Raw genomic sequence first — 23,619 nt, 5'->3', positions numbered from 1 at the left:
CCAGATATTTGCTGAAAGCTAACATGGTAGGCATTATACTGGGTTGGGAGTAGTGGGGGGTTGAAGTAGAAACTTAGTAAGACAGAGCCTCTCATCTCTTGTGAAATTTGATTAACTCTTAGTGTTGGGGCTTCTGATACTGTTTTTTCCTATTGATCTGAAGTAACTAAGTTGTTATAGATGTGTATGTGCTTACTGAGCACCTAATGTATCATTGCAGTAGCAATACTTCAAGCAACATGACTAGAGCCACCTTATCTTATAAACTGACAAAGGATGACTGAAGTTTAATATTCAGATTCACATCTTCTGAGACTGGAAAAAAACCCACCACATACAGCATGTAAGCTGCAGCCTGGAGATCTCTGCATAGAATGCCCATTATAGAACTATAGTTTGTCTATAGTTCCAATGGAATGGAACAGAGGGTCAGTAAGGCAGGGAGAGGACCAACACAATGGCACTGATCCTCAAGTGAGTTCCTTTAATGCCAGGTAGTGGTATTAGTGGCTGTGTTCAGGCCATTCCCCAGCCTAGAAAGCACAGTGCATGCGCTGTATTGACTGGGTGGATGAGCAACATCATATGATGCCATGTGCAGATGAAGGATAGCATATATATGGCGTTAACTCACCTCTTTCAGGACTACAACATGAACCAATGAGATGCACTCAGGCAGGTCCCTTAGGTAGGCAACATAATAATCCAAGAAATTATTCTTTAAAACAAACACAAAAATGCATGGTAAGAACCTGAAAACAGGATCTATAATATTTTTATAGAGTCATATATGTAAAAGAAGAGTACTTTGCAGAGATTATCTTATTCATTTAATATGTTCTTCATTTTATATATTTTGAGGCTTTAAAGAATTAATCTTAGATAAGGCGCGGTGGCTCACGCCTGTAATCCTAGCACTTTGGGAGGCCAAGGCAGGTGGATTGCCTGAGCTCAGGAGATCGAGACCAGCCTGGGCAACACGGTGAAACCCCGTCTCTACTAAAATACAAAAAATTAGCCAGGCATGATGGCAGGTGCCGCTAATCTCAGCTACTCAGGAGGCTGAGGTAGGAGAATGGCATGAACCCGGGAGGCAGAGCTTGCAGTGAGCCGAGATTGCACCACTGCACTCCAGCCTAGGGGACAGAGTGAGACTCCGGCTCAAAAAAAAAAAAATGTATCTTAAAAAAAATTTTGGTTTTAAGGTAAACATTCCTACCCTTTGGAATCAAAACTCAGCATCCCCTCCCTAATGAGAGAAAGTGAAATAATGAAACCAGGGAGGAGGGAGGTTCATGTAAGTTGAAAATGTATTTTTTTAGTCACTTAACAATAAAAATGTATCTTTTATTTTTGTAATTCCATTTCATTTCAGTCAATCATGTACGTCCAGATGAGGGACTCTGCCCATCCCACTTCATGTCATCCAGATCAGTAGTTCACAACATTTTCTAGTAATTGCATATTTCCACTAATTACATATTTATCTATGCATTATCCCCTTAGGAAAATCATTCTCAGCTTCTAAAGTTATAATAATTCTCAGCTAAAGGAAGCATACTGAACACAAGTGAGTAAAAATGATATTAGAGGATATTAGTACATTATATGCACTCTAGTCTGTAGAAGAAAATAATTTGTAAACTTTGTATTGTTATCCACAGTTGAGAATAATTGATACACAGAAATTGATTTCAGGCAAAGTCTGGCTTGCAGACCAATTTTAATTAGCCCACACAATCTTTTAAAAATAAGAAAATTTCCCACAAAATTCTGGATTTCCAGCTTTTCTTAAAATATCAGAAGCTCTGGCAACTCTAGTCCTTTTTTCCTGCATAATGATTGGATAAAGCTGAGTAGCTATTCCTTGTAGAACAACACAGCTGCTCCACTGCAGCTCACACTTCACACCAGTCCATACTGTGTTCACTTCACTCATTTATGCCACTGTCTGGCCCCATAGGCATTTGAGTTTGCAGCCTCTGGCTTGGATCATATTTTCTTTGTAGGATATTGTAGAGATTGCAAAATTCAAGATAATAGCCACCCATCACATTTTTTAAAAAATCTCCAAGGAATGAAAATTGTGTGTGAAAATACACATGTATATACAAACTCTCATGTGTATATATATATGCATGTGTGTGTATATATCTCATGTGTGTATATATATATTTGTGTATATATACACACAGATGCATATATATTTGTGTATATATATACACAGATGCATATATATACATGTTTTAATGTATATATACTTTTTTTTTAATTTAATAAAGACAGGGTCTTGCTGTGTCGCTCAAGCTAGTTTTGAAGTCCTGGGTTCAAACAATTCTCCTGCTTCAGCCTCCCAAAGTGTTGGGATTACAGGCACGAGCCACCACACCCGGCCCACAAATATATATACATACATTTATATAAAAACACACACACAATACATACACACATCGACATGCGTATTCAATGGAGGCAGTTATAATACAGTGGAAAGTTATGAACTAGAAGTCAGAAGACCTAACTTAGGCCTCTGAAAGTCACACATCTCCAACTACCTAGCTAGCGGGGTGATTTCAGCAAGGCTTTTAAATCTCTCTGAATCATTCCATGATCTGTATGTAGAATGAGAAAGTTAGACTAGATCTCAGTGGTTCTAGCTGTGAAATTCACTGCTTCTAGATTCTCTATTAAGAGAAGTAGACAAATGAGACACAAATCCGTATAAGTAAAATGTATAGAGGGGCAGAAAAAACCTTACCTCGTCATTTGTTAACTTAAGGAATAAATCTCCAAGAACGCCTTGGCGTGGCCACTTCAGGACCCTTTCCTGCAGTGCGTGAAGCAGATCCAGGTGCTGCTGGACGAGGTACCGTAAAGAGCCAGGGAAGAGGCTTGAAACAGAATAGAGACGGAATCACACAAACAAGGTGTAGAGAAGAAAGGACCCTACAAAAATACATGCAGCAGGGCCCATTCTCCCAGCCATCCAACATACTGTGAGTCACAGGCCTGCATTAAGGATTTTTTAAAGTTTTTCATTGCACACCTAATAGCAGATATCCCGACTACAGAAAAACAAAACAAAACAAAAAAAACCTTTACTAATGGCTTCTATACAAATGTGTATTGAACTAATAAAGAGGCCTGGCATGCCACACCTGTAATCCCAGCACTTTGGGAGTTGGGCGGATCACCTGAGGTCAGGAGTTCGAGACCAGCCTGGCCAACATGGTGAAACCCCATCTCTACTAAAAATACAAAAATTAGCTGGGCATGGTGGCATGCACCTAATTCCAGCTACTTGGGAGGCTAAGGCAGGAGAATCACTTGAATCCGGGAGGTACAGGTTGCAGTGAGCTCAGATCACGCCACTTCACCCCAGCCTGGGTAACAAAGCGAGACTCTGTCTCAAAATAAATAAATAAATAAAATACAAATAAATAAAGAGCACATCACTTGAAAGACCTTTTTACATGCTCATTTAAATGACACGCAGTGGAAATTCTAAGGGATACCTTTTTCAATGTTTTAGAGCTATTCCTATTTGATGTGCAAAATAGTCTATTCTAATTAGTGTTGTAGATGCAGCACTGAGGTGGCATCTACAAGACCATTCTCAGCTACCAGTAGGAGACTGCTATTTAGGTAAGTAGGAAAATTTGTTTAAAGTTGGCAACTAAAAAGCTCAGGGAGTTGTAGGGTATCAGAGGGTTTCTTTTTTCCTTTTCTTCAGTTTCTAAGAGGAATACTGGGCCAGGACAGTCTTGTCTGGGTAGGCTATTAATACAGTTTGGATGTGTGTCCCTGCCCAACTCTCATACTGAAATGTAACCCCCAGTGTTGGAAGTGGGCTTGGTGAGAGGTGATTGTATCATGAGGGTGAATTTCTCGTGAATGGTTTAGCACCATCCCTTTTGCTACTGTCCCACCAAGTGATAGTGATGGTGAGTGAGTTCTCATGAATTCTGGCTGTTTAAAAGTGCGTAGCGCCTCCCGTCTCTCTGTCTTGCTCCTGCTGCGCCCTGTGACATGCCTGCTTCCCCTTCGCCTTCCACCATAATTGTAAGTTTCCTGAGGCCTCCTCAGAGGCTGAGCAGATGCCAGCATCGTGCTTCCTGTACAGCCTGCAGAACCGTGATCCAATTAAACCTCTTTACTTTACAAATTACCCAGTCTCAGCTATTCTTTATAGCAATGTGAGAACGGCCTAACACAGCTACTGACCAGGCCTGGCTTGCTACTCCCTGGAATTTTACAAAGCACTTTTTCTACCCTTCCATCCCTCTCTTCTCCATCTTGCAATGTACCTCCTTTTTTCTTTTTTTTCCCTTTTTCAGAAGTAAGGAAGGGAAGAAGGGAGACGTCAGAGAAGGGTGGGGTGGAGAGGAGAGATAGAGAATCATGGGAGGAAGAGGAAGGGGGACTAGCTGGGTAAGAGTGATGTGATTAGAGGCCTATAGAAAAGAGGAAGAAAAAAATAAAAAGAAGCAGAGTTTTTTTGGGTTACAGCAAGGATTGGAGCTCTAACTTGGTGACTTAAGGTAGGTTCCTTTATGCTTTCAGCACCGCAAGTTTAACAAACAGAAAAGAGATGGTCTGGTTGATCTGAACTTACTTGAATATTTCCCCAGGGTCAAATGAGAGTAAACTCGTGGACAACTGGGGTGCTTTCCCAACAAGCAAACCTTTGTTGGAACAATAGGAAGGATGCCAGATCGAGAGGAGGTTTTTTTCAACTCATTTCCAAGCAAAGCAAAGTGACCTCTGTGACTGTAGCTCAGAGGAGACACACAAACACGAGAATAGGGTACCTAGCCCCCTATGAAAGGATATGAGGAAGACTTCCACTCCCATCTTCCACTCCCTCCACCTCCTGTGCCTGGATCCCCTACAGGTACAAAAGAGGAGAGGCCTCCTGACCTGAGCGCTTACAATGGAACAGTGGGTTTAGGAGATCAAAGAAATCCCTGTCCAGATCAGAGGGGAATTTGGAGGGGTAGCTACGGGGTATACTGACTGGGAGAAGACCATAAACCTGATGGAGAAAAACACAACTGATTGTACTGAAAGTGTAAAATGCTGCACCAGCCAAAGATCTAGGTGCAAAAGATTTCTTCCTACCCAGTGGTTGTAAATGACTTTGTGTAATAGTCCTGGTGTGACCCTGGAAGATATTAGGGCACCATGGGAAGATCTGACTTTGTGAAGAATTGTCCATATATGTATATAAAATGTCTTGGATTATCGATTTCCTTTTTCTTTCCTTCATTCCCCTTCCTCCCTCCCTCCCTTTCTTCCTCCCTTCCTCTCTCCCTCCTTCCCTCCCTCTCTCCTTCCCTTTCTTCCTTCCTTCTCCCTTTCTTTCCAGAGAGCTGCATTCTGCTACACTGTGGTCAATGTACTTGGAGAATGGGAGAGCTGGTACCAATCTCCTCCTGGACTGCCCACCGGGATGACTGTTTGAGATTTCAGGGTGGGGTTGGAGAAGGCTAAGGCCTCCATCAAGCATTGTGGAAGCACATAAGTTACATGAAAAACAATGACCTACAGTGGATTCTATACGAAACATTGAAAACGGGCTTTAAACCTTTTAAAAAAATTTAACAAGGGTATTATTTGAAATTAGGGAGGAGTGTGAAATCAGAAGACAGACAGCAAAGGGAGAAAGATGGCAAGTACAAGCCACACTTAACCTGTTTCACTCTTTTGCCTGGCGCCAGACCTGACGCCCAGAAGCAACTTTTTCATGAAGACGAAGTATTCAGAGCTCAGCTTTTTTTTTTTCCTATTCCTTACTGGGATGAAATTTTGGCAACATTAGTAGTTTATTATTTCTAAAGCCTTCAAAGTTTTTATCTCCTAACAATATAGTACTTAATCAATGAGGGAAATACACTAAAAGCAAGAAAGAAAAATCCAGTTATAGTTTGAGGTTAATAATGTAGCTTTTGTCAGCCCAGAATGAGGCCAAAATAACTCCTGAGCTTGGCAGTAGCAGGTTCCCGCCACCCTGGATGGGCATGATCATTAAACGTGTGCCACCTGGTGGTGATCTGTAGCACGAAGCTTGTTGAGCTCTTGGTGGACACAGCACTGGAGTTTAGCTTACAAGGCTAATTGACAATCCTGCTGAGCTGATCACTGCTCCCTCCATAAGTGTTCAGACAGAACTGTGATCCTGAGGCTGTGGCTCTACCTAGGTGAGTCAGAGCCAAAAAGCCCAGAACTCCAACTTCTGTGATCCTTCGACAAATGACAGCCTGGGCAACAGAGCAAGACACCGTCTTTATAATAAACTGAAAAAGTAGCTGTTAGTGGTATGATGTATAAGAGCACAGGGTGGCTCATGCCTGTAATCCCAGCTGGGGATGCTGAGGTGGGAGGATCACTTGAGCCCAGAAGTTTGAGGCTGCAGTGAGCTGTGACTGGGCCGCTGCACCCTTCTCCAGCCTGGGCGACAGACAGAGACCTTGTCTCTAAACAAAACAAACAAATGAATCATAGCCCTCAAGTTCTGCCCAGGTTTCAGCCAGCAGCAATGTGCCCCTGCAACTTCCAGCCCTTTCAGCCAGGGGCACGGCTGGCTTCAAACAGGCTGAGGAAGCTCTTGAGTGACTCACTTTTCTTTAGGAAAAACCTAAGGTTTTATTTAATAGGTTGGAGAAGATGTGGCCACCTCAGGCTTGAATGTCAAGTTGTACTTGCAGTGGAGGTTATTTGCATCCCAACTTACTTTCCAATGGGGTAAAAAGTGCTGAAGGTTTGTGGTTTGTGATGGGAAAGTTAGTAAATGTTAATATACTTACTTTCATCTTTGCATGGAGAAAAATGCCGATAGTAAATGTTAATATACTTATTTTCATCTTTGCATGGAGAAAAATGCCGATAGAGAAAAGGAACAATTTCATTCTGCTTTGTATTTCCTTCAGCTGGTCTATTTAAAGTACACACAAAGGCTGGGCACAGTGGCTCACACCTGTAATCCCAGCACTTTGAGAGGCTGAGGTGGATAGATCACTTGAGGTCAGGAGTTCGAGACCAGCCTGACCAAAATGGTGAAACCTAATCTCTACTAAAAATATAAAAATTAGCTAGGCATGGTGGTGTGTGCCTGTAATCTCAGCTACTCAGGAGGCTGAGGCAGGAGAATCACTTGAACCCGGGAAGTGGAGGTTACAGTGAGCCGAGATAATGCCACTGCACTCCAGTCTGGGCAACAGAGTGAGATCCTGCCTCAAAAAAATAAAGAAAGAAATAAAGTACACACAGAGGTTTCAGGAAAGCTTTAAAGAAGAAAGATAATGAGTGGAGGAGGATAATGAAAATCTAACCCTAAAATAGAAAAACGGCAGTACCACCAAGCTCAGAACCAGAGACTTCATATTCAGTACTAACGAAGAGGGTGGGGTTGAAGCTTTTCTCTGCTTGGTCCATGCAAAGAAAAAAGAAGGTTAGTCTAGCAAATAACTAACATGAATAGCATTATCGCAGATATCTTGAAATAACTATGATCTTACTTTCATAGAGGATTGTATGATAGCTTTAATTTTTCAATCTCGTAGGATTTGAGGGAGAGATCTACTCCTTCCTCCCAGTGATGGGTCATAAGAGAACAATTTAGAAAAATAGGAAGTGGCAGCAAGTCAATAAGGGCCTTCTCTTTATCTACCCAAATCTTCTGCAGGGTCTGGTCTCTCCCCTATGACCTCCCGCCTGCTGGAGGCTTGCAACAAGGGCTAGACAACATATGTAGCAGACTTAACAAATCAACTGAGATCTGAAGTAAAAACGTACAGGCTGTTCAAGAGGGAAGACTGAATTTTGAAATAGGAAGAGACAACTGTATCCTTCTGGCTCTCTGAGAAACTTTACACATTGCAGTTAATGAAGCCAGTGGCTTTGGGGAAGTGGTATGATGTATAAGAGCACACACTACAGGGTCCGGCAGGCTTGCGTTTGAATCCCGGCACTAATTGGTTCTGCGGCTTTAAGCTTCTCTGGGCCTTAGTTCCTTCGTCTGTAAGGTAGGGGTCACAGGGTTCTGCTAAATATTTCGTGAAGTTACGAATCAAGTGCCTAGCAGAGCAGCTGCTTACTACTCCCTTCCACAGTAAACAGTTTTCTCTTTTCCCTGACTTACCCCGCCTCCCCAGATTTTCAGACTAAGAAGAGACGCTGCTGGCTTAGAATTTTCTATGTGGAAGCAAAGCCACACCAAAGGGTACACCGCCTTTAGATTTCATTACCATAAACTGAGTAGGTCTTTGGCAACAGCAAGACAGCTGGAGCCCATAGAGACTTCCAGAGGCCTGCAGCGCAGCTGGGAGGGTCAAGGAGGGGGAACTGGAAGGGCCAGATAGGGAAGGAAGGATGGCTGAGAATCTAGGCAGTATCTGAGAGGTGAGGCCCAGTCCAGATGGTCACAGCTTTAGCTGGGTCACCTTAGCCTTTCTGTTCTTGTTGCTTCATATTTGGTTTACCTCTGTTTTGTAGTAAAATAACTCTTGAAAATAGGCCACTCGTGGGTTTGTCAGGGAGTAGTGCCTCACTCGGTCATTTAGGTAGGAGGGCAGCGTGTGTTTTGAGTGTATTGTTGGCAGCCACCAAGTCAAATAGATTTGGGGGGATGGTAAGGAGCAAGAAAATATAATTAGGGGCTTCCCTGGGTAGATTCAGAATTTATGAACCACCAGTGTATATTACCCAATGGAATGTTTAAAGTAATAATGCCACATATGTCCACAGTAGTCCATAATCCAGACTTTCCATTCTTTTGGATTGGCCTTTTCTTCAATTTTTCTGGATTATTATATATTCATTACATTAATCTTTTTCACCAAGTCTTACTTTCCTCCTTCCTGCTTTCTCTCAACAGAGAGGGAAACAGAAAAAAATCTAGACTATGAACAGATATAGGTGGAGTGTTGCGGCATTGGGAAAGCGTGCTGTTACAACAGGTGGCAGACCCTATGAGCGCGCACACACACACACACACACACACACCCATGCATTACTCAGTACCATAAGATCACCCACATGAATAATAAGGCCCAGGTCCAGAGTTATATCAGCCCTGTGTCATTTCTCTAATGGCCACTGAGTGCTTCGGTTTGCCACACATTCATTCTCTTGTGCTTCTAAGAGACCTGTGACCCATGGGGACTCCATGCAGATGGCAACAGAGACCAACGCCTCCCTCACTGTAGCATTTGTTCCCCCTTTAAGTTTTTAAAAGACATGTTAGAGACCCTGAAGGCCCAGGAGACTATACTCATTTTCTTACATTGATGAAAATCTAAGTTTAAGACTTGCCAGGGGTTCCCTATTGCTATGATCTAAATGTGTCCCCCAAAATTCATGTGCTGGAAACTTAACCCCCAATGCAACAGTACTGGGAGGTGGAGCCTATGGTGGGTGTTTAGGTTGTGAGAGCTCCGCACTATGAATGGATTATTGCCACTACAAAAGGGGCCTGAGGGAGTGGGTTCTCCTGCTCTCTCCTGATCTTCTGCCATGTAAGGCTGCAATGTTCCTCCTCTCTGGAAGACACAACAACAAAGTGCCATCTTGGAACCAGAGATTCAATCTGCCAGCACCTCGATCTTAGACTCCCCAGTCTCCAGAATTGTGAGAGAATAAATTTCTGTTCATTAAAAGTTATCCAGTCTACGATATTCTGTCATAGCAGCACAAAGTGAACTGAGACATCTGCCATCACTGCCTCTTCTCTTTTCAAAGACTATTTCTGGAACTCTTCATAGGCCCCAGAAATCCCAAAGTGGAAACAATAAACCACTTACCTTAAATCCTAATCAATCTGAAAAGCAAAGGCAATGAGTGCATGGATACCTTCTCTCTTTGGAATTCCTCTTTCCATCTGACCCCTGGAATGTGGCTTTTATCTTCAAGATCAGAGAGATGTTAATGACATATTTTCTTTCAGATTCAAGCAGTTCCAGGGCCACAGTCTGTCTTTTAGCTTTAGAAACAAACCAAAGAGGACTTGATATTAACCATTTCTTCCTAAAATCCCATTAAATGCAAGCAATAAAAGTGATAAAAGGATATTGAAAGCAATAAAAAAAAAACCATCTGCAAGTTTTTGAAAGGTAGAAAGCAGAATGGAGGCGCAGTAATTCATTCAGCAGAGCAAAGGGCACGAAGTCTTGGTGTCCCCATCTGCAGCTGGAAAATCTGCTGAGAAGCATCTGGAAAGCTCAAGGATTGGAGACACCAGGGGCAATATAGATAGTGCAAATAAGGGACAATGCTGAAAGCAGGAGCAATCATTGAAAGTATACATATGGGGCAATTGAACCTCCAGATCCTCACCCCCCATACCAGATGGCTTCCTCACTTCCTCCCCATGGCAAACAAGAAAAATGAAACTAGAGAAGCCCTGGTTTCTGGGATCTGGGCTAAAGACTTTAGACATAGTAGAGTTCAGATGCTAAAATGAAAACAAAGGGACTCAGGGAAGGCTTCATACTGAACAGTGAGACTTCCCTCAGCCTTCTTCCCCTGTAGATCCCAGAGTGCCAGAAGCCAGGTTTAAACTCTTCAGGCAGGAGATTGGAGGGTCTTCCACTTGAGAAACTGAACTGCCCAAGGGAAAAAGATCCACAGACACTGACACAAAGAGGTCAGCTATCAGCCGGACATGGTGGCTCATGCCTGTAATCCTAGCACTTTGGGAGGCCAAGGCGGGTAGATCACCTGAGGTCAGGAGTTCGAGACCAGCCTGGCTAACATGGCGAAACCCCATCTTTACTAAAAATACAAAAATTAACCAGATGTGGTGGCACACGCCTGTAATCCCAGCTACTCGGGAGTCTGAGGCAGGAGGATTGCTTGAACCCAGGAGGCGGAGGTTGCAGTGAGCTGAGATGACGCCCTTGCACTCCAGCCTGGGTGACAGAGCAAGACTCTCTCTCAAAAAACAAAAAGAGGTCAATTATCAAAAGTTAATTTGCCATCTGATTAGCCTGTCTATAATGAAGCCCACTGATTGACAAGCTCGGTCAATACAAAATTTCCAGAGTTTTTCTAAGAGCTCTTTCTTACATACATTTAGCTAAGGATGCTCATACATTTGCATAAAGCTTATACTATAAAAGAATGAGAAGAAAAAGCATATATACGTATTTTTTTTATAAGGAGGGGGGACCCTGAAGAAACAGAGACAATGCAGGATACAAAAGAATAAAAATTTTTAATCTTACAATTCATATTCTCAAAGAAATATAAGAAACATATTCCAGTCATTTAACAATTGCAGGATGCTATTTTTAAAAAGAGAGGCTAATTTTTAAAAAGGAGAAACTTTTAAACATTGCTTAAAAGATAGAAAAAATTAAAAGGGTAGAAGATGAAGAAAAGAAATCTCCCTTTCTTAAAAAAAAAAAAAAAAAGATAAGAGGGGCTGGGCGTGGTGGCTCACGCCTGTAATCCCAGCACTTTGGGAGGTCGAGGTGGGCAGATCAGAAGGTCAAGACGTCGAGACTTGCCAACATGGTGAAACCCCATCTCTACTAAAAATACAAAAGTTAGCTGGGCATAGTGGTGTGCACCTGTCGTCCAGCTACTCAGGGGGCTGAGGCAGGAGAATAGTTTGAACCCGGGAGGCAGAGGTGGCAGTGAGTCAAGATCATGCCACTGCACTCCTCCTGGGTGTGACAGAGCAAGACTCTGTCTCAAAAAAAAAAAAAAAAAAAAGAAAGGAGAGATGTATTGAAGAAAAATAGAAGAGCAAAAGATGGCAGTTGAGAAATCAATCCAAGAGGTCCAACATCAAATTAGTAGAAGTTTCAGAAAAAAGAAAGAAAATGGATGAGAAGATATTATCAAATTAATAACAGGCAAAAAAAAAAAAAATCCCAAGACATGTATTTCCAGAGAAAAGGACCCTTGTGCCCAGCAAAATTAATAAAAAAGACTCACATCATTACAAGGCATATCACATCACTGTGAAAGTTTAGCACACCACGAATAAAAACAAGATCCTAAAAGTTACCAGATAGAAAAATCAGGTAACGGGCTGGGCACAGTGGCTCACACCTGTAATCCCAGCACTTTGGGAGGCCGGGGTGGGCGGATCACGAGGTCAGGAATTGGAGACCAGCCTGGCCAACCTGGTGAACCCCATCTCTACTAAAAATACAAAAATTAGCCAGGTGTGGTGGTGGACGGCTGTAGTCCCAGCTACTCGGGAGGCTGAGGCAGGGGGATTGCTTGAACCTGGCAGCCAGAGGTTGCAGTGGGCTGAGATCACACCACTGCACTCCAGCCTGGGTGACAGTGCAAGACTCCGTCTCAAAAAAAAAAAAAGAAAAAGAAAAATCAGGTAACATGCAAAAAACTGAGTATCAGAATGGTACTGGACTTCCTAATAGCAAAATTAGAAGTTAGAGGACAGTGGAACAATTGCTTCAAAATCATGAGGAAAAAAGATGTCTTATTTGGCCAAATTATTAATCAACTATGTGAAAGCATTTTGCAAAATTATGACCGCAAGAGAAATCTGACATAGCTGACTCCATCTTATATCTAACCTCAAGCTGCCCTTGTACATTCCTGAGCATAGGCTGAGATTTTGGGATTTATTTAGTTCATAGTTCAACTTAAAGCAAGGATGATAATAGCCCTTCCCCAAATTAACCCCACACCCTCCAATTTGGTACCCAAACTGGCTTTGAAAAACTAATGAAAGGCCAAAAGTTTAGGATTATGAATTATGAATTCATATTATGAATTACACTAAGATGTAGGCATAGTTAAATGATAATCAGCCATTGTTCTGGAGGTGGCAAGATTTGTAACTTCCCTGGTTATTCCTATAGATAACATCACTACTGTAGAACCTAAGATTGGTCTTTTGAGACATTTTTCCAGACTTTTGCATTTCTGGAAGCTGACTGACTCCACCTGGACCTACACCCATGACTCAACTAGTCCTGTGGCCCTCACCCAGAGGCTGACTCAGCATATGAGGACCACATCCCTGTGATTTCATCTGCATAACCCCCTGCCCACCAAATTATCCTTAAAAAAAGTCCAGTCTCTGAATTTTCAGGGAGATTGATTTGAGTAATAAACTCTGGTCTGCTGCAATAGCTTGCTGTACGTTTATTCAACTTTTTCTCAATTGCAATACAGCAGTTGCAGTAAATCAGCTCCACCTGCACAGCAAGCCGGCAAGAAGGACCCGCCAAGTGATTACATATGTGGAAACTACTGGATGATGTGTTCCACCAAAACCAGGAGTAAACCAAGAAACCAAGGATACAGAAGATGAAAAAAATCAACAACAGCAACAAACAGGAATCGAACAGAGGAGAAATATAAAGGGAATTCTTAAGAAGACTGGAAAGTCCCAGGATGATGGGAGTACATTGGGCCAAAGCAGAATAGGATGACGGAGGCAAATGCTCTTTAAAAAAAAAAAAAAAGATGGCTGGGCATAGTGGCTTGTGCCTGTAGTGCCAACTACCTGGGAGGCTGAGGCAGGTGGATCACTTGAGCCCAGGATGTTGAGGCCAGCTTGGGCAACAAAGGGAAACCCCCACCTCTGAAAAACTAAATGGATAAAAATAAATTAAAAACTAAAAACATTGATGATGTAAATAGTAAAGTTTCTGTTATATTGCTAAGAAAAATTCAAGATCTATATAAATGAAGAGATATACCATGTTCTTTAAATGGAAGACTCAATACTGTCAAGATGTCAATTACCTGATAATTGGAATTTTTAAAAGGAGAGTCTAAAATTAGATACCCATATAAGACCACTTGACTTTCTACATACAACAATGGGAAACAGAAGGTATTTTCAATTAATGATGCTGAAACAACTGGATAGCCATCTGGAAAAAAAATGAACCTGGAGCCCTTTCTCACACTGTACATCAAAATTTATTCACCATAAGTCATAGACCTAAATGTGAAAGCTAAAACTATAAAGATTTTAGAAGAAAGCATACCAGAGTACCTTCACAACTGTGAGATAGCAAAGGTTTCTCAGAAAGACAAGAAAGTCACGAGCTATTTTAAGAGTTTAAAATTGACAGCTGGGTGCAGTGGTGCACACCTGTAGTCCTAGCTCCTTGGGAGGCTGAGGAGGAAGAATCACGTAAGCCCAGGAGATCAAGGCTGAAGTGAGCTGTGATTATGCCACTGCACTCCAGCCTGGGCAACAGAGCAAGACCCTGCTTCAAAAAAAGTTGGGCAATGGACTTAGGCACCTTATAAAAGAAGAATATATGAATAGCTAATAAGCATATAAAAACATACTTAATACTAATAATCACCAGGGAACTGCAAATTAAAACTACAGTGTGATACCAGTACACATCCCTGAGAATGGCTAACATTGAAAGGACTAACCATCCTTCCCAAGTATTGGAAAGTATGTGAAGCAACTGGGCTCTCAAACATTGCTAGTGGGAATATTAGCCAACTGCTTTAGAAAACTGCTTGACATTTTCTTTTAAAGTTAAACATAATCATAACCTACAACCCAGAGATTTTACTCCTAGGTATACACCCAAGAGAAATGAGGGCATACATCCCCCCACTAAAAAAAAATTTGTACAAGAATATTCATAGCTAGCTAGGCACAGTGGCTTACGCCTGTAATCCCAGCACTTTGGGAGGCCAAGGCAGGCAGATCACTTGATATCAGGAGTTGAAGACTAGCCTGGCCAACACAGTGAAAACCCTGTCTCTACTAAAAATATAAAAATTAGCCAGACGTGGTGGTGCACGCCTGTAATCCCAGCTACTCAGGAGGCTGAAGCAGGAGAATCACTTGAGCCTGGGAGGCAGATGTTGCAGGGAGCCAAGATCACGACATTGCACTCCAGCCTCAGTGAAAGAGCAAGACTCTGTCTCAAAAAAAAATGTCCATCAATGGGAGAATGGATTTTTAAAAATGTGATAAATTCATTCAATGTGATTAATAAAAAGGAATGAATTGTGTGCAAAAATATGCATAAATCTTTTTTAAAAAACATTATGTTGGGAGAAAGAGGCCAGACACAAAAGAGTACACTGTGTTATTCCATTTACATGAAGTTTAAGAACAGACAAAACTAATTTGTGGTATAGAAGTCATAATAGTGGTTCTTTGGGTGGATATTGACTGGCAAAGTGCATGAAAGAACTTTCTCAGGTTCTTTCATGCACAGAAATATTGTATATCTTGATCTGGGTGGTGATCACAGGGGATAGACACATGTAAAATGTCTATTAGCTTAAATGTAAGCTCTGTGAATTTTACTCTATGTAAATTCACCTTCAATAAAGTATTAGTAAAAAAAATAGTGTAAAACTTTTATTTTTTTGAGTTAGGGTCTTGTTCTGTTGCCTAGGCTGGAGTGCAATGGCACTATCATAGCTCAATGCAGCCTCGACCTCCTGAGCTCAAGTGATCCTCCTACCTTGGACTCCCATGTAGCGGAGACCAGAGGCACATGCCAGGAGGCCCAGCTACTTTGTTTTTTTATTTTTTGTAGAGACAGGGGTCTCACTATGTTGCCCAGGCTGGTTCCAACTCCTGGGCCCAATGGATCCTCCCACCTGTCCTCCCAAAGTGCTGGGATTACAAGTGTGAACCACCATGCCTGGCTAAACATCTTTTAAAAACATAGAAGCAGGGGAAGACTGTGTACCCAGCCTGAGCCTGCCATTCTCCCTCCCCCATGCCCCCGAAAAGAAAACATGGAAGCAAGTACCAGAAAAAACGGTCAAAAGAGTTTAAAGTTGTTGGCGCTCTTCTTCATAACAAACCTTTTAATACTTTTTTTCATGTATTTGACTTTAAAAATTCAAAATAATTTTTAAAAATTACCTCCCCCCAAATAGCCAGGGGGAAATGCCATTGTCTGACACAGTAATTGTTCAGCAATACTTTGTGATATGAAGGGAAGGAGGGAGGGAAAAAGGAGGGAGGACAGGCTGTGTTGCAGTGTGTGATATTTTGGTGGTAGACTGTTGATGAAAGGCTTGTTTCTAGAAGATACCACATCACTGGCTAAATAGTTCTGCCTTCTCCACCAACCTTATGCCTTCCCCCTCCCGCCCACAGCACTCCATTACTAAGTGTCTTGAACATGCAGAATCAAGGTGGTAGTCACTGGCCCTGTGACCTCTAATGAGTCCCTTTACCTCTATAGGCTTTAGTTCATCTGAAAAGGAAACCAGGAACTAGGTGGCCTCATGTGTCCACTGAATCTAAACGGCAAGGATTCTCGCCTTTGAGTTCAAAGCTCTGGTACATCCTGTTCTTTAAACTATTAGCCTGCATTCCCCCTTGGAACTTACCAGCTAAGGAGGTTTCACATAAAACGTTTTCCAAGGAGCTGTGTCTACCCTGGCCAGCCTCCTTGAGTTTATCTGGGTGGTCTTTTGTGACGTATTCTTCACCCCATTCTTTACCATCCTTAGGCTGCCTCCACATGCCAGATGGGAGATGGCCCTTGGACTGGATATCAGCCGAGAGGCAAGACTTGAGGTTTTCTTCTGCTTCTGGAGTTGTTGGGTTCACTCCTGGTGGGGTGGGGGGAGGGGCGGGGAAACAAAGAAAACTGCTATCAAAATCTTTTTAAAAAATATGTTTGTTACCACTTTCGGAGGCCGAGGCAGGCGGATCACGAAGTCAGGAGATTGAGACCATCCTGGCTAACATGGTGAAACCCTGTCTCTACTAAAAATATAAAAAATTAGCTGGGCGTGGTGGCGGGCACCTGTAGTCCCAGCTACTCAGGAGGCTGAGGCAGGAGAATCGCTTGAACCCAGGAGGCAGAGGTTGCAGTGAGCCGAGATCGCCCCATTGCACTCCAGCCTGGGTGACAGAGTGGGACTCTGTCTCAAAAAAAAAAAAAAAGTTTGTTACTTTTTTTTTTTTGAGACGGAGTTTCGCTTTTGTCACCCAGGCTGGAGTGCAATGGGGCGATCTCGGCTCACTGCAACCTCTGCCTCCTGGGTTCAAGCGATTCTCCTGCCTCAGTCTCCCAAGGAGCTGGGATTACAGGTGTGTGCCACCACGCCCAGCTAATTTTTATATTTTTAGTAGAGCTGAGGTTTCACCATGCTGGCCAGGCTGGTCTTGAATTCCTGACCTCAGGTGATCCACCTGCCTCAGGCTCTCAAAGTGCTGAGATTACAGGCGTGAGCCACCATGCCCGGCCTTGTTGCTAACTCTTAACGAATCTGCCTCTGTTTGGGTACAACTATCCCTTGAGGATTAAATATACCAATTAAGGATTAAAAGTGTCCACAGCTGCACGGGGTTCCCTCTGTTTCTGGTCTATACATCCTCTATGCTTTATACATAGTCTTTACTATATAAGGAGCTTTTTAAAATGAATTTATCAAATAGTATAGCTAATTTATAGTATGTATTGACTCCTTATATCTGCTTCCTTTCAGGTGAGCACACCAGATGCTGGAGCACTCCTGGGAAGAGAAACAGAAAGAGGAGGAGGAAGGGTGCCAAAAACAATGTCTTATTTGGCCATTTTTCCCTTGACCCTAATGCTAGAAAGGAAGGAGAGAGGGAAGCTTAAATAATTTATAAAATCCTGGTGAATTGTCAATTAAGTAAATCCTTTTTAAAATTTTGTTTTCTTTTATCTTCTTTTGTTTCTTTTCTATTATTTAGTCCTTTATTACCTGCACTACACAGATGTAAAAGTAGGTAACTTTTGAATTAAACTATACAGTGTGTGATCCACGGAAAACTTACATCATGCTACATTCACCTGCAAGTTTTTGGCAAATGTGAATTTATTAGTCATTGAAATAAGCCAGAAAAAATGAAACATACTGGTTTTGTCTTAAGCTTCCCTAGCCCTTCTCTCTCCTTGGTTCAAATGAGTCACTGACCTGCTCTAGTACACATCTTGGAATCTTCGTAACTTCATAACTTTATCTTTTGTGAGTTCTTTCATGCCTGGTTTGAAACTAAGGAAGTGGAAGCAGGGAAGATAGAAGTGGAAAATAATGGAATTGCTGGAAGAAAAGAAAACTAAGAGAAGAGTCACTTACCAGGACCCATCATTCCTTTTACATTACTGTCTCCTACATGAACAGATCTGGACTCTTGGGCTGCAGAGAAAGGAAAGCATTCATTCAGCGTTCATTCCACTAACATGGACTAAGCACCTTCCACGAGCCTGGCACTGGGGGCAGACTCAGAGATTGTAGTTTCATGGGGGAGGCAGAGCAGTAAAAAAAAGAAATTACAGTATAGTGTGGCAAGTGCTATTTTCTCAGCTGTAAAAAGATATAATAGTGGTACTTACCTCAAGGATTACAATAAGAAATAAATAAGTTAGTATTTGTAAACTGCTTGAAGTTCTACCTGGCATATTGTAAGAGTTAAATAGTTGTTTAACTATAATGGTGGTGGCAGTGGTATGATGGTAATAATAAAAAGAGACAGAATGGTACTGTTAACATGTAAGCCAGCCTGGGCAGCATGACAAAACTCCATCTCTACCCCCCACCCCCTCCCCCCAAAAAAACCCAGAAATTAGCCGGGCATGGTGGTATGTGCCTGTGGTCCCAGCTACCTGGGAGGCTAAAATAGGAGGATCGCTTGAACCCAGGAGGTTGGGGCTGCAGTGAGCTAAGATTGTGACACTGCACTCCAGCCTGAGTGACAGAGCAAGACCCTGTCTCAAAAACAGAATAAACCAGACCCTATCACTTCTCTGCTTAGCCCTCCAATGGCTCCCATTTCAGTGTAAAAGCCAAAGCCCTTATAATGATCATACAGCCCTGGAATATCTGCCCCCAACTCATGCCTGCTGTTTCTTTTTTTTTTTTTTTAACTGCACCTACTGTTTTCTCCCTGATTCACTCTGCTTTACCCCCGTTGGTCTTCTTGGTATTCCTTGAACACGTCAGTCATATTCTCACGGGACCCTGACACTGGCTGCTCCGTTTCTTCCCCTCAGTACCCATAAGCGAACTTTCTCACTTCCTTCAGGTCTTTGCCTGGCACTCTATTTAAAATTACAATTCCTCTTTACTTATTTTTTTCCTTAACTCATCACTCTCTAACATACTACATATCTTACTTATCTTGTTTATTGTCTGCTTGCCTCAGAGGAAAGTCTCCATGAAGGCTGGAATTTTTGTTGTTTTGTTCATTCCTATATCTTACCACCTAAAACAGTGCCTGAGATGGAGGGAGGGAGAGAGGGGGGAGGGAGGGAGAGAAGCGGGAGAGAGGGGGGAGGGAGGGAGAGAAGCGGGAGAGAGGGGGGAGGGAGGGAGAGAAGCGGGAGAGAGGGGGGAGGGAGGGAGAGAAGCGGGAGGAAGGGAGAAAAGGGGGAGGGAGGGAGAGAAGGGGGAGGGAGGGAGAGAAGGGGGAGGGATGGAGGGAGGGAGAGAAGCGGGAGGAAGAGAGAAAAGGGGGAGGGAGGGATAGAAGGGGGAGGGATGGAGGGAGGGAAAATGTCAGGGTGGCTTGAATGCAGAGGGAGAAGTCGAGGGTAACAAAATATAAGTCTGAAGAGAAAAGCAGAGGCAAGTTAAAACACGGCCATGTAAACTGTGTTAAGGAACTTGGACTTTATTCTGAGGGTGATGAGGAATCAAAGAGAATCTAAGAAGGAGCATCCAGAAAGTAGGTGTAAAATCAAAGAAGCACAGTGTCAGCCAAAAGAAGAGAATGTTTCAAGAAGGTGGGTATCAAGGGTACCAAAAACTATCAGGAGTGGTAAGGATGAAAGCCAATATTGAGTGGGTAGAATAAATACAAAGTAAGAAAGAAGAGACGGATAATAAAACCACATCTTTCAAAAAAATTAGTTTTCAATTTTCTCAAGCAAGAATATGTCAGGAGTAGGGAGGCTAAACATCTTGAGAGTTTCTTGAGTGGGGAAAGGAACCTAAAGGTAAGGTATACTTGGGCCTGTAAAATGACATTTTCAAACTGACAAGTTCTACAATTATCAGGCACATAAATGATGTTGCATCATGGCTCACATAAATTGGCTGCCTTCTCAGATGGGGCCATCAGCCATTTGTGGTAAGCAGCTCCAGATGGCTCCAATTATCCCCACCCCTTAGCATTTACGTCCTTATGTAATCCTTTCCCTTAGGTAAAGGCTGGATTTACTGATTAGTCTCTAATGAATAGAATATGACAGAAAAAATGGAATACCATTTCTAAGATTAGGTTATAAAAAGACTATGGGTCGGTCGTGGTGCCTCACACCTGTAATCCCAGCAAGGGAGGCCAAGGTGGACAGATCACTTGAGGTCAGGAGTTTGAGACCAGAGACATGGCAAAACCGTGTCTCTACTAAAAATACAAAAATTAGCAAGGCATGGTGGCGGGTGCCTGTAATTCCAGCTACTCAGGATGCTGAGGCTGGAGAACTGCTTGAACCCAGGAGGTGGAGGTTGCAGTGAGCCGAGATCGCGCCATTGTACTCCAGCCTGGGCGGCAAGAGCAAAACTCTGTTTCAAAAAAAGAAAAAAAAAACAAAACAAAAAAACCCACTGTGGCTTCTGTATTGAGCGTTCTTTTAGATAACTTGCCCTGGGAGAAGCTAGCTGCCAAATTGTAAGGCAGCAACTTGGAGAGGCCCAGGTTACAAGAACTGGAGCCTGCCAATAACCAGGTGATAAGCTTGGTATAGATGCCCCATGAGTAGAGCCTTCACCTGAGATGACAGCCATGGCCAGCACCTTGATTACAGCCTTAATGAGAGACCTTGAGCCAGAGGCACTCACCTAAGCTGTGCACAGATTTCTGACTCAGAGAAACTGTGAACCATGAATGTTTGCTATTTTAAGCTACTGAATTTTGGGACAATAGATAACAGTTGTACCATTTTATCAACAGTGGATAAGCCAAGACTTTCTGAGTGTTTGGTTCTTGAGCCCTGAGTTTTAACACAAGCTGCCACCAAGTATGTGCAGAATGTCTTATCATGGCACATTATTCTTAAATTTCTGCAGCAACTCAGTAGAATAAACTATGACCACGTCTATACAGGAGGAAAGGAAGGAGGAATTGCCACTAAATAGTTCATTGAAATCCATGTAGGCACTGAAATCATCTGGATCAGCTGTTTTCAGTGGAGTCCACACATTCTGTGATTATTTAAGTCCCTGGGGGCTGTTACACATTGTCTAAACATGCACAAATTTACTTTGTAAAGATAATTTTTAACCTTTTATCTTATGAACATGTTTAGCTGCTCCAGACCTGCCATTGAACTGACTTTTACATTCTAAGCCTATCCTATACTATACTCTTTCCCAGAGAGGATCATCCTTTTATGTAGAGCTGTTCATGTCTTAGAGGAAAGAAAATAGAGCCACCTGCAATGAACCCGGTCCCCAGATGGACCAAGTGAGTTTTCCCAGGCTGCACCTATCAGTCTCTCAATGAATTACGCAAATAGGTAAAAAAAAAATAAAAATAAAAAGGCAAGCCGGGCACGGTGGCTCACGCCTGTAATCCCAGCACTTTGGGAGGTCAAGGCGGGTGGATCACTTGAAATCAGGAATTCAAGATGAGCCTGGCCAACATGGTGAAACCCCTGTCTCTACTAAAAATACAAAAAATTAGCCGTGCATGGTGACGCCTGTAGACCCAGCTGCTTGGGAGGCAGAGGCAAAGGTGGGAGAATCACTTGAACCCGGGAGGCAGAAGTTGCAGTGAGCCGAGATCGTGCCACTGCACTCCAGCCTGGGTGACAGAGCGAGACTCTGTCTCAAAAAAAAATGATAATAAAAAATATTAAAAAGGCAAATCTGTACTTTGAAGTATGCCAGTTAAAAGCCACTTGATTTAGATTTTTAGATTCAGTTATTCAGAATACACATTGTCTATGAGTATATAAACCTAATTGTTCCATTCATCTTAAGCATAGAAAACCACCAACCCTGTCTTTGACACACTGACAGTTGAGAAATCATTGAGTCTTTCTTTTGAGGACTTTCTACGTGAGACCATAAATAAGAGGAAATGTCATCTAAACAACGTTAATATCTACATTTATTTTTCTGTGTATAGGTGCTTTGCTAGACATGGTTGAGGATACAAAGACATGGCAAATTTTTTTTGTTTTTACTTTTCCTGAGTTGAATGTAAGTTAATAACCAAAACTCTGACTTCCACTGGAAAGCCAGTTTCTTCGGTACCATTTTTTAATATCTGTTCTAACATCCCTAAGGTCAGGAATGAGATTGGTAACTGTTTCAGCCCACAGGCAGCATCAGCTCTGGTTTTCCAGAGAAAGACAGGTGCTGAGTTAGACTGCCAATAAAATGACTTGTTAGAGTAAGTGATTTTTTTCTAACATTTCTGTCTTATGGGTTAGCATAGTAATGATTGTACAATAAATTATTTTTAATTCAATTGAAATTTAGAAGTATCCAGATTAGTATTCCCCCGACCACACACCAAAAAAAAAATATTTAAAACTGGGCACTCTTGTGGTCTCTTAGATCCTCTGGATTCTTCTGAATTCCAGTTACAAGCAGAAAAATTCTAGGCAATACACCATTTTCTTCTAACAAAGATGGAGGGTTTAAGCCCATTCTTAATTGGGGGAATTGGGAAAAAAATACTTGATTAATTCAGTATGATTTGTGAACTGTACCTTTCTCGTAGGCCTGAGAAGGCAAAAGGTTGGTAAAGTCTTCGCTTGGAAGAACAGGCTCAGGGATATTGATAGAACGAAAAGGACTTCCTTGTGCTTGGGCAGGCCCGGCCTGTGAGCTGTGCTCTTCTTTTTGAGTTTTCCTAGGAAAGAGAAACAAAGACAAGGCTATTCTGGTTCTTAATATCTGATAGGTTATGAGGAGATTCAGTTCAGAACAACTCAAGAAAATGTCTGAATTATTAGGTTGAACTATATAAATTGCTATTTTTGAAAATTAAAAGTGGTCAAATACTAGCAATTCATATGGTTCAACTTAATTCATTACCTCAGCTGGAGAAAAAACTTCAAATATTTACAAATCACCCTTCTAATTATAACATCCACATTCTTATTTTTTTGTTGCTGGCTTCCTTATCATCGGGATCTTTAGAGTTTGCAGTGGTGACAATTTGCTTGAAATGATTTATATTCGCTTAGCAATGCAACTCAAAAGTATCAGGAAGCAGCAGGTCCTCTCCTGAAAACAACCTGTTCTCCAGGGTCACACACATATTATTCCTACATTTCTATTTTCAATTTGGTAATATTAAAAACACATAAGTAAGTTGAGCACTGTGGCTCATGCCTGTAATCCCACCACTTTGGGAGGCCAAGGTGGGAGGATCACTTGAGCCCAGGAGTTCAAGACCAGCCTGGGAAAACATAAGGAAACCCATTTCTATAATTTTTTTTTAAATTAGCTAGCGTGATGGCCACACCTATAGTCCCAGCTACTCAGGAGACTGAGGTGGGAGAATCATTTGAGCCCAGGAGTTCAAGGCTGCAGTGAGCTGTGATCATACCACTACTCCAGCGTGGGCAACAGGGTAAGATTCTGTCTCCAAAAAAAAAAAAGAAAAGAAAGAAAAAAGGAAAAAGAAAACCAAATAAGTAGCAATAAAGATTATATATGTTTAATGGTGAAACTTTACTTGATTCAACCTAGTCC

At 42.2% G+C, this 23,619-nt stretch overlaps 1 protein-coding gene, 1 long non-coding RNA gene and 1 pseudogene across 5 annotated transcripts in view, besides 6 other annotated features; 2 read left to right on the top strand and 1 right to left on the bottom strand.

The window, feature by feature from the left end:
* ARHGEF33 (Rho guanine nucleotide exchange factor 33) overlaps positions 1–23,619 on the bottom strand; it is an 85,580-nt gene that overhangs the window by 21,575 nt on the left and 40,386 nt on the right. For both annotated transcript variants that reach the window (NM_001367623.3, NM_001145451.5), the window contains exons 7-12: positions 22,629–22,771; positions 18,046–18,105; positions 16,321–16,545; positions 9,850–9,979; positions 2,759–2,891; positions 635–718 (exon numbers count right to left, since the gene is read on the bottom strand). In NM_001367623.3, the coding sequence (NP_001354552.1) occupies positions 635–718; positions 2,759–2,891; positions 9,850–9,979; positions 16,321–16,545; positions 18,046–18,105; positions 22,629–22,771 (775 nt within the window). The remainder of the gene's footprint in view (positions 1–634; positions 719–2,758; positions 2,892–9,849; positions 9,980–16,320; positions 16,546–18,045; positions 18,106–22,628; positions 22,772–23,619) is intronic.
* LOC105374471 (uncharacterized) lies at positions 425–17,633 on the top strand. Of its 3 annotated transcripts, none has more exons than XR_001739418.3 (3): positions 425–474; positions 1,507–1,570; positions 3,575–9,715. It is a non-coding gene; the product is annotated as an uncharacterized LOC105374471 (long non-coding RNA). The 3 variants fall into 3 exon arrangements; XR_001739417.1 differs by lacking the exon at positions 3,575–9,715 and adding an exon at positions 16,444–16,508 and having other exon boundaries at positions 427–474; XR_939980.3 differs by lacking the exon at positions 3,575–9,715 and adding an exon at positions 17,428–17,633 and having other exon boundaries at positions 429–474.
* Positions 5,842–6,342: an enhancer, noted in NCBI's record as "H3K27ac hESC enhancer chr2:39174679-39175179 (GRCh37/hg19 assembly coordinates)". NCBI's record gives its function as "activates a minimal SCP1, AML or CMV promoter by ChIP-STARR-seq in primed H9 embryonic stem cells {active_cell/tissue: H9 hESC(primed)}" and the evidence as "EXISTENCE:reporter gene assay evidence [ECO:0000049][PMID:30033119]".
* Positions 5,963–6,082: a silencer, noted in NCBI's record as "silent region_11382". NCBI's record gives its function as "represses an Ori minimal core promoter by ATAC-STARR-seq in GM12878 lymphoblastoid cells {active_cell/tissue: GM12878}" and the evidence as "EXISTENCE:reporter gene assay evidence [ECO:0000049][PMID:35858748]".
* Positions 6,343–6,843: an enhancer, noted in NCBI's record as "H3K27ac hESC enhancer chr2:39174178-39174678 (GRCh37/hg19 assembly coordinates)". NCBI's record gives its function as "activates a minimal SCP1, AML or CMV promoter by ChIP-STARR-seq in primed H9 embryonic stem cells {active_cell/tissue: H9 hESC(primed)}" and the evidence as "EXISTENCE:reporter gene assay evidence [ECO:0000049][PMID:30033119]".
* Positions 6,349–6,535: a silencer, noted in NCBI's record as "fragment chr2:39174486-39174672 (GRCh37/hg19 assembly coordinates)". NCBI's record gives its function as "represses an EF-1alpha promoter that drives an FKBP-Casp9 reporter gene in an ReSE screen in HepG2 liver carcinoma cells {active_cell/tissue: HepG2}" and the evidence as "EXISTENCE:reporter gene assay evidence [ECO:0000049][PMID:32094911]".
* Positions 6,358–6,652: a silencer, noted in NCBI's record as "tiled region #10102; K562 Repressive non-DNase unmatched - State 13:Ctcf". NCBI's record gives its function as "represses a minimal TATA promoter and a strong SV40 promoter by Sharpr-MPRA in K562 cells {active_cell/tissue: K562}" and the evidence as "EXISTENCE:reporter gene assay evidence [ECO:0000049][PMID:27701403]".
* Positions 10,011–10,961: an enhancer, noted in NCBI's record as "NANOG-H3K27ac-H3K4me1 hESC enhancer chr2:39170060-39171010 (GRCh37/hg19 assembly coordinates)". NCBI's record gives its function as "activates a minimal SCP1, AML or CMV promoter by ChIP-STARR-seq in primed H9 embryonic stem cells {active_cell/tissue: H9 hESC(primed)}" and the evidence as "EXISTENCE:reporter gene assay evidence [ECO:0000049][PMID:30033119]".
* RN7SL96P (RNA, 7SL, cytoplasmic 96, pseudogene) lies at positions 16,722–17,004 on the top strand (annotated as a pseudogene).

Source organism: Homo sapiens, chromosome 2, assembly GCF_000001405.40.
Source record: "Homo sapiens chromosome 2, GRCh38.p14 Primary Assembly".
NCBI lineage: Eukaryota > Metazoa > Chordata > Mammalia > Primates > Hominidae > Homo > Homo sapiens.
The sequence above is the reverse complement of the archived record's forward strand: the minus strand, read 5'-3'. Positions and strand labels throughout refer to the sequence as shown.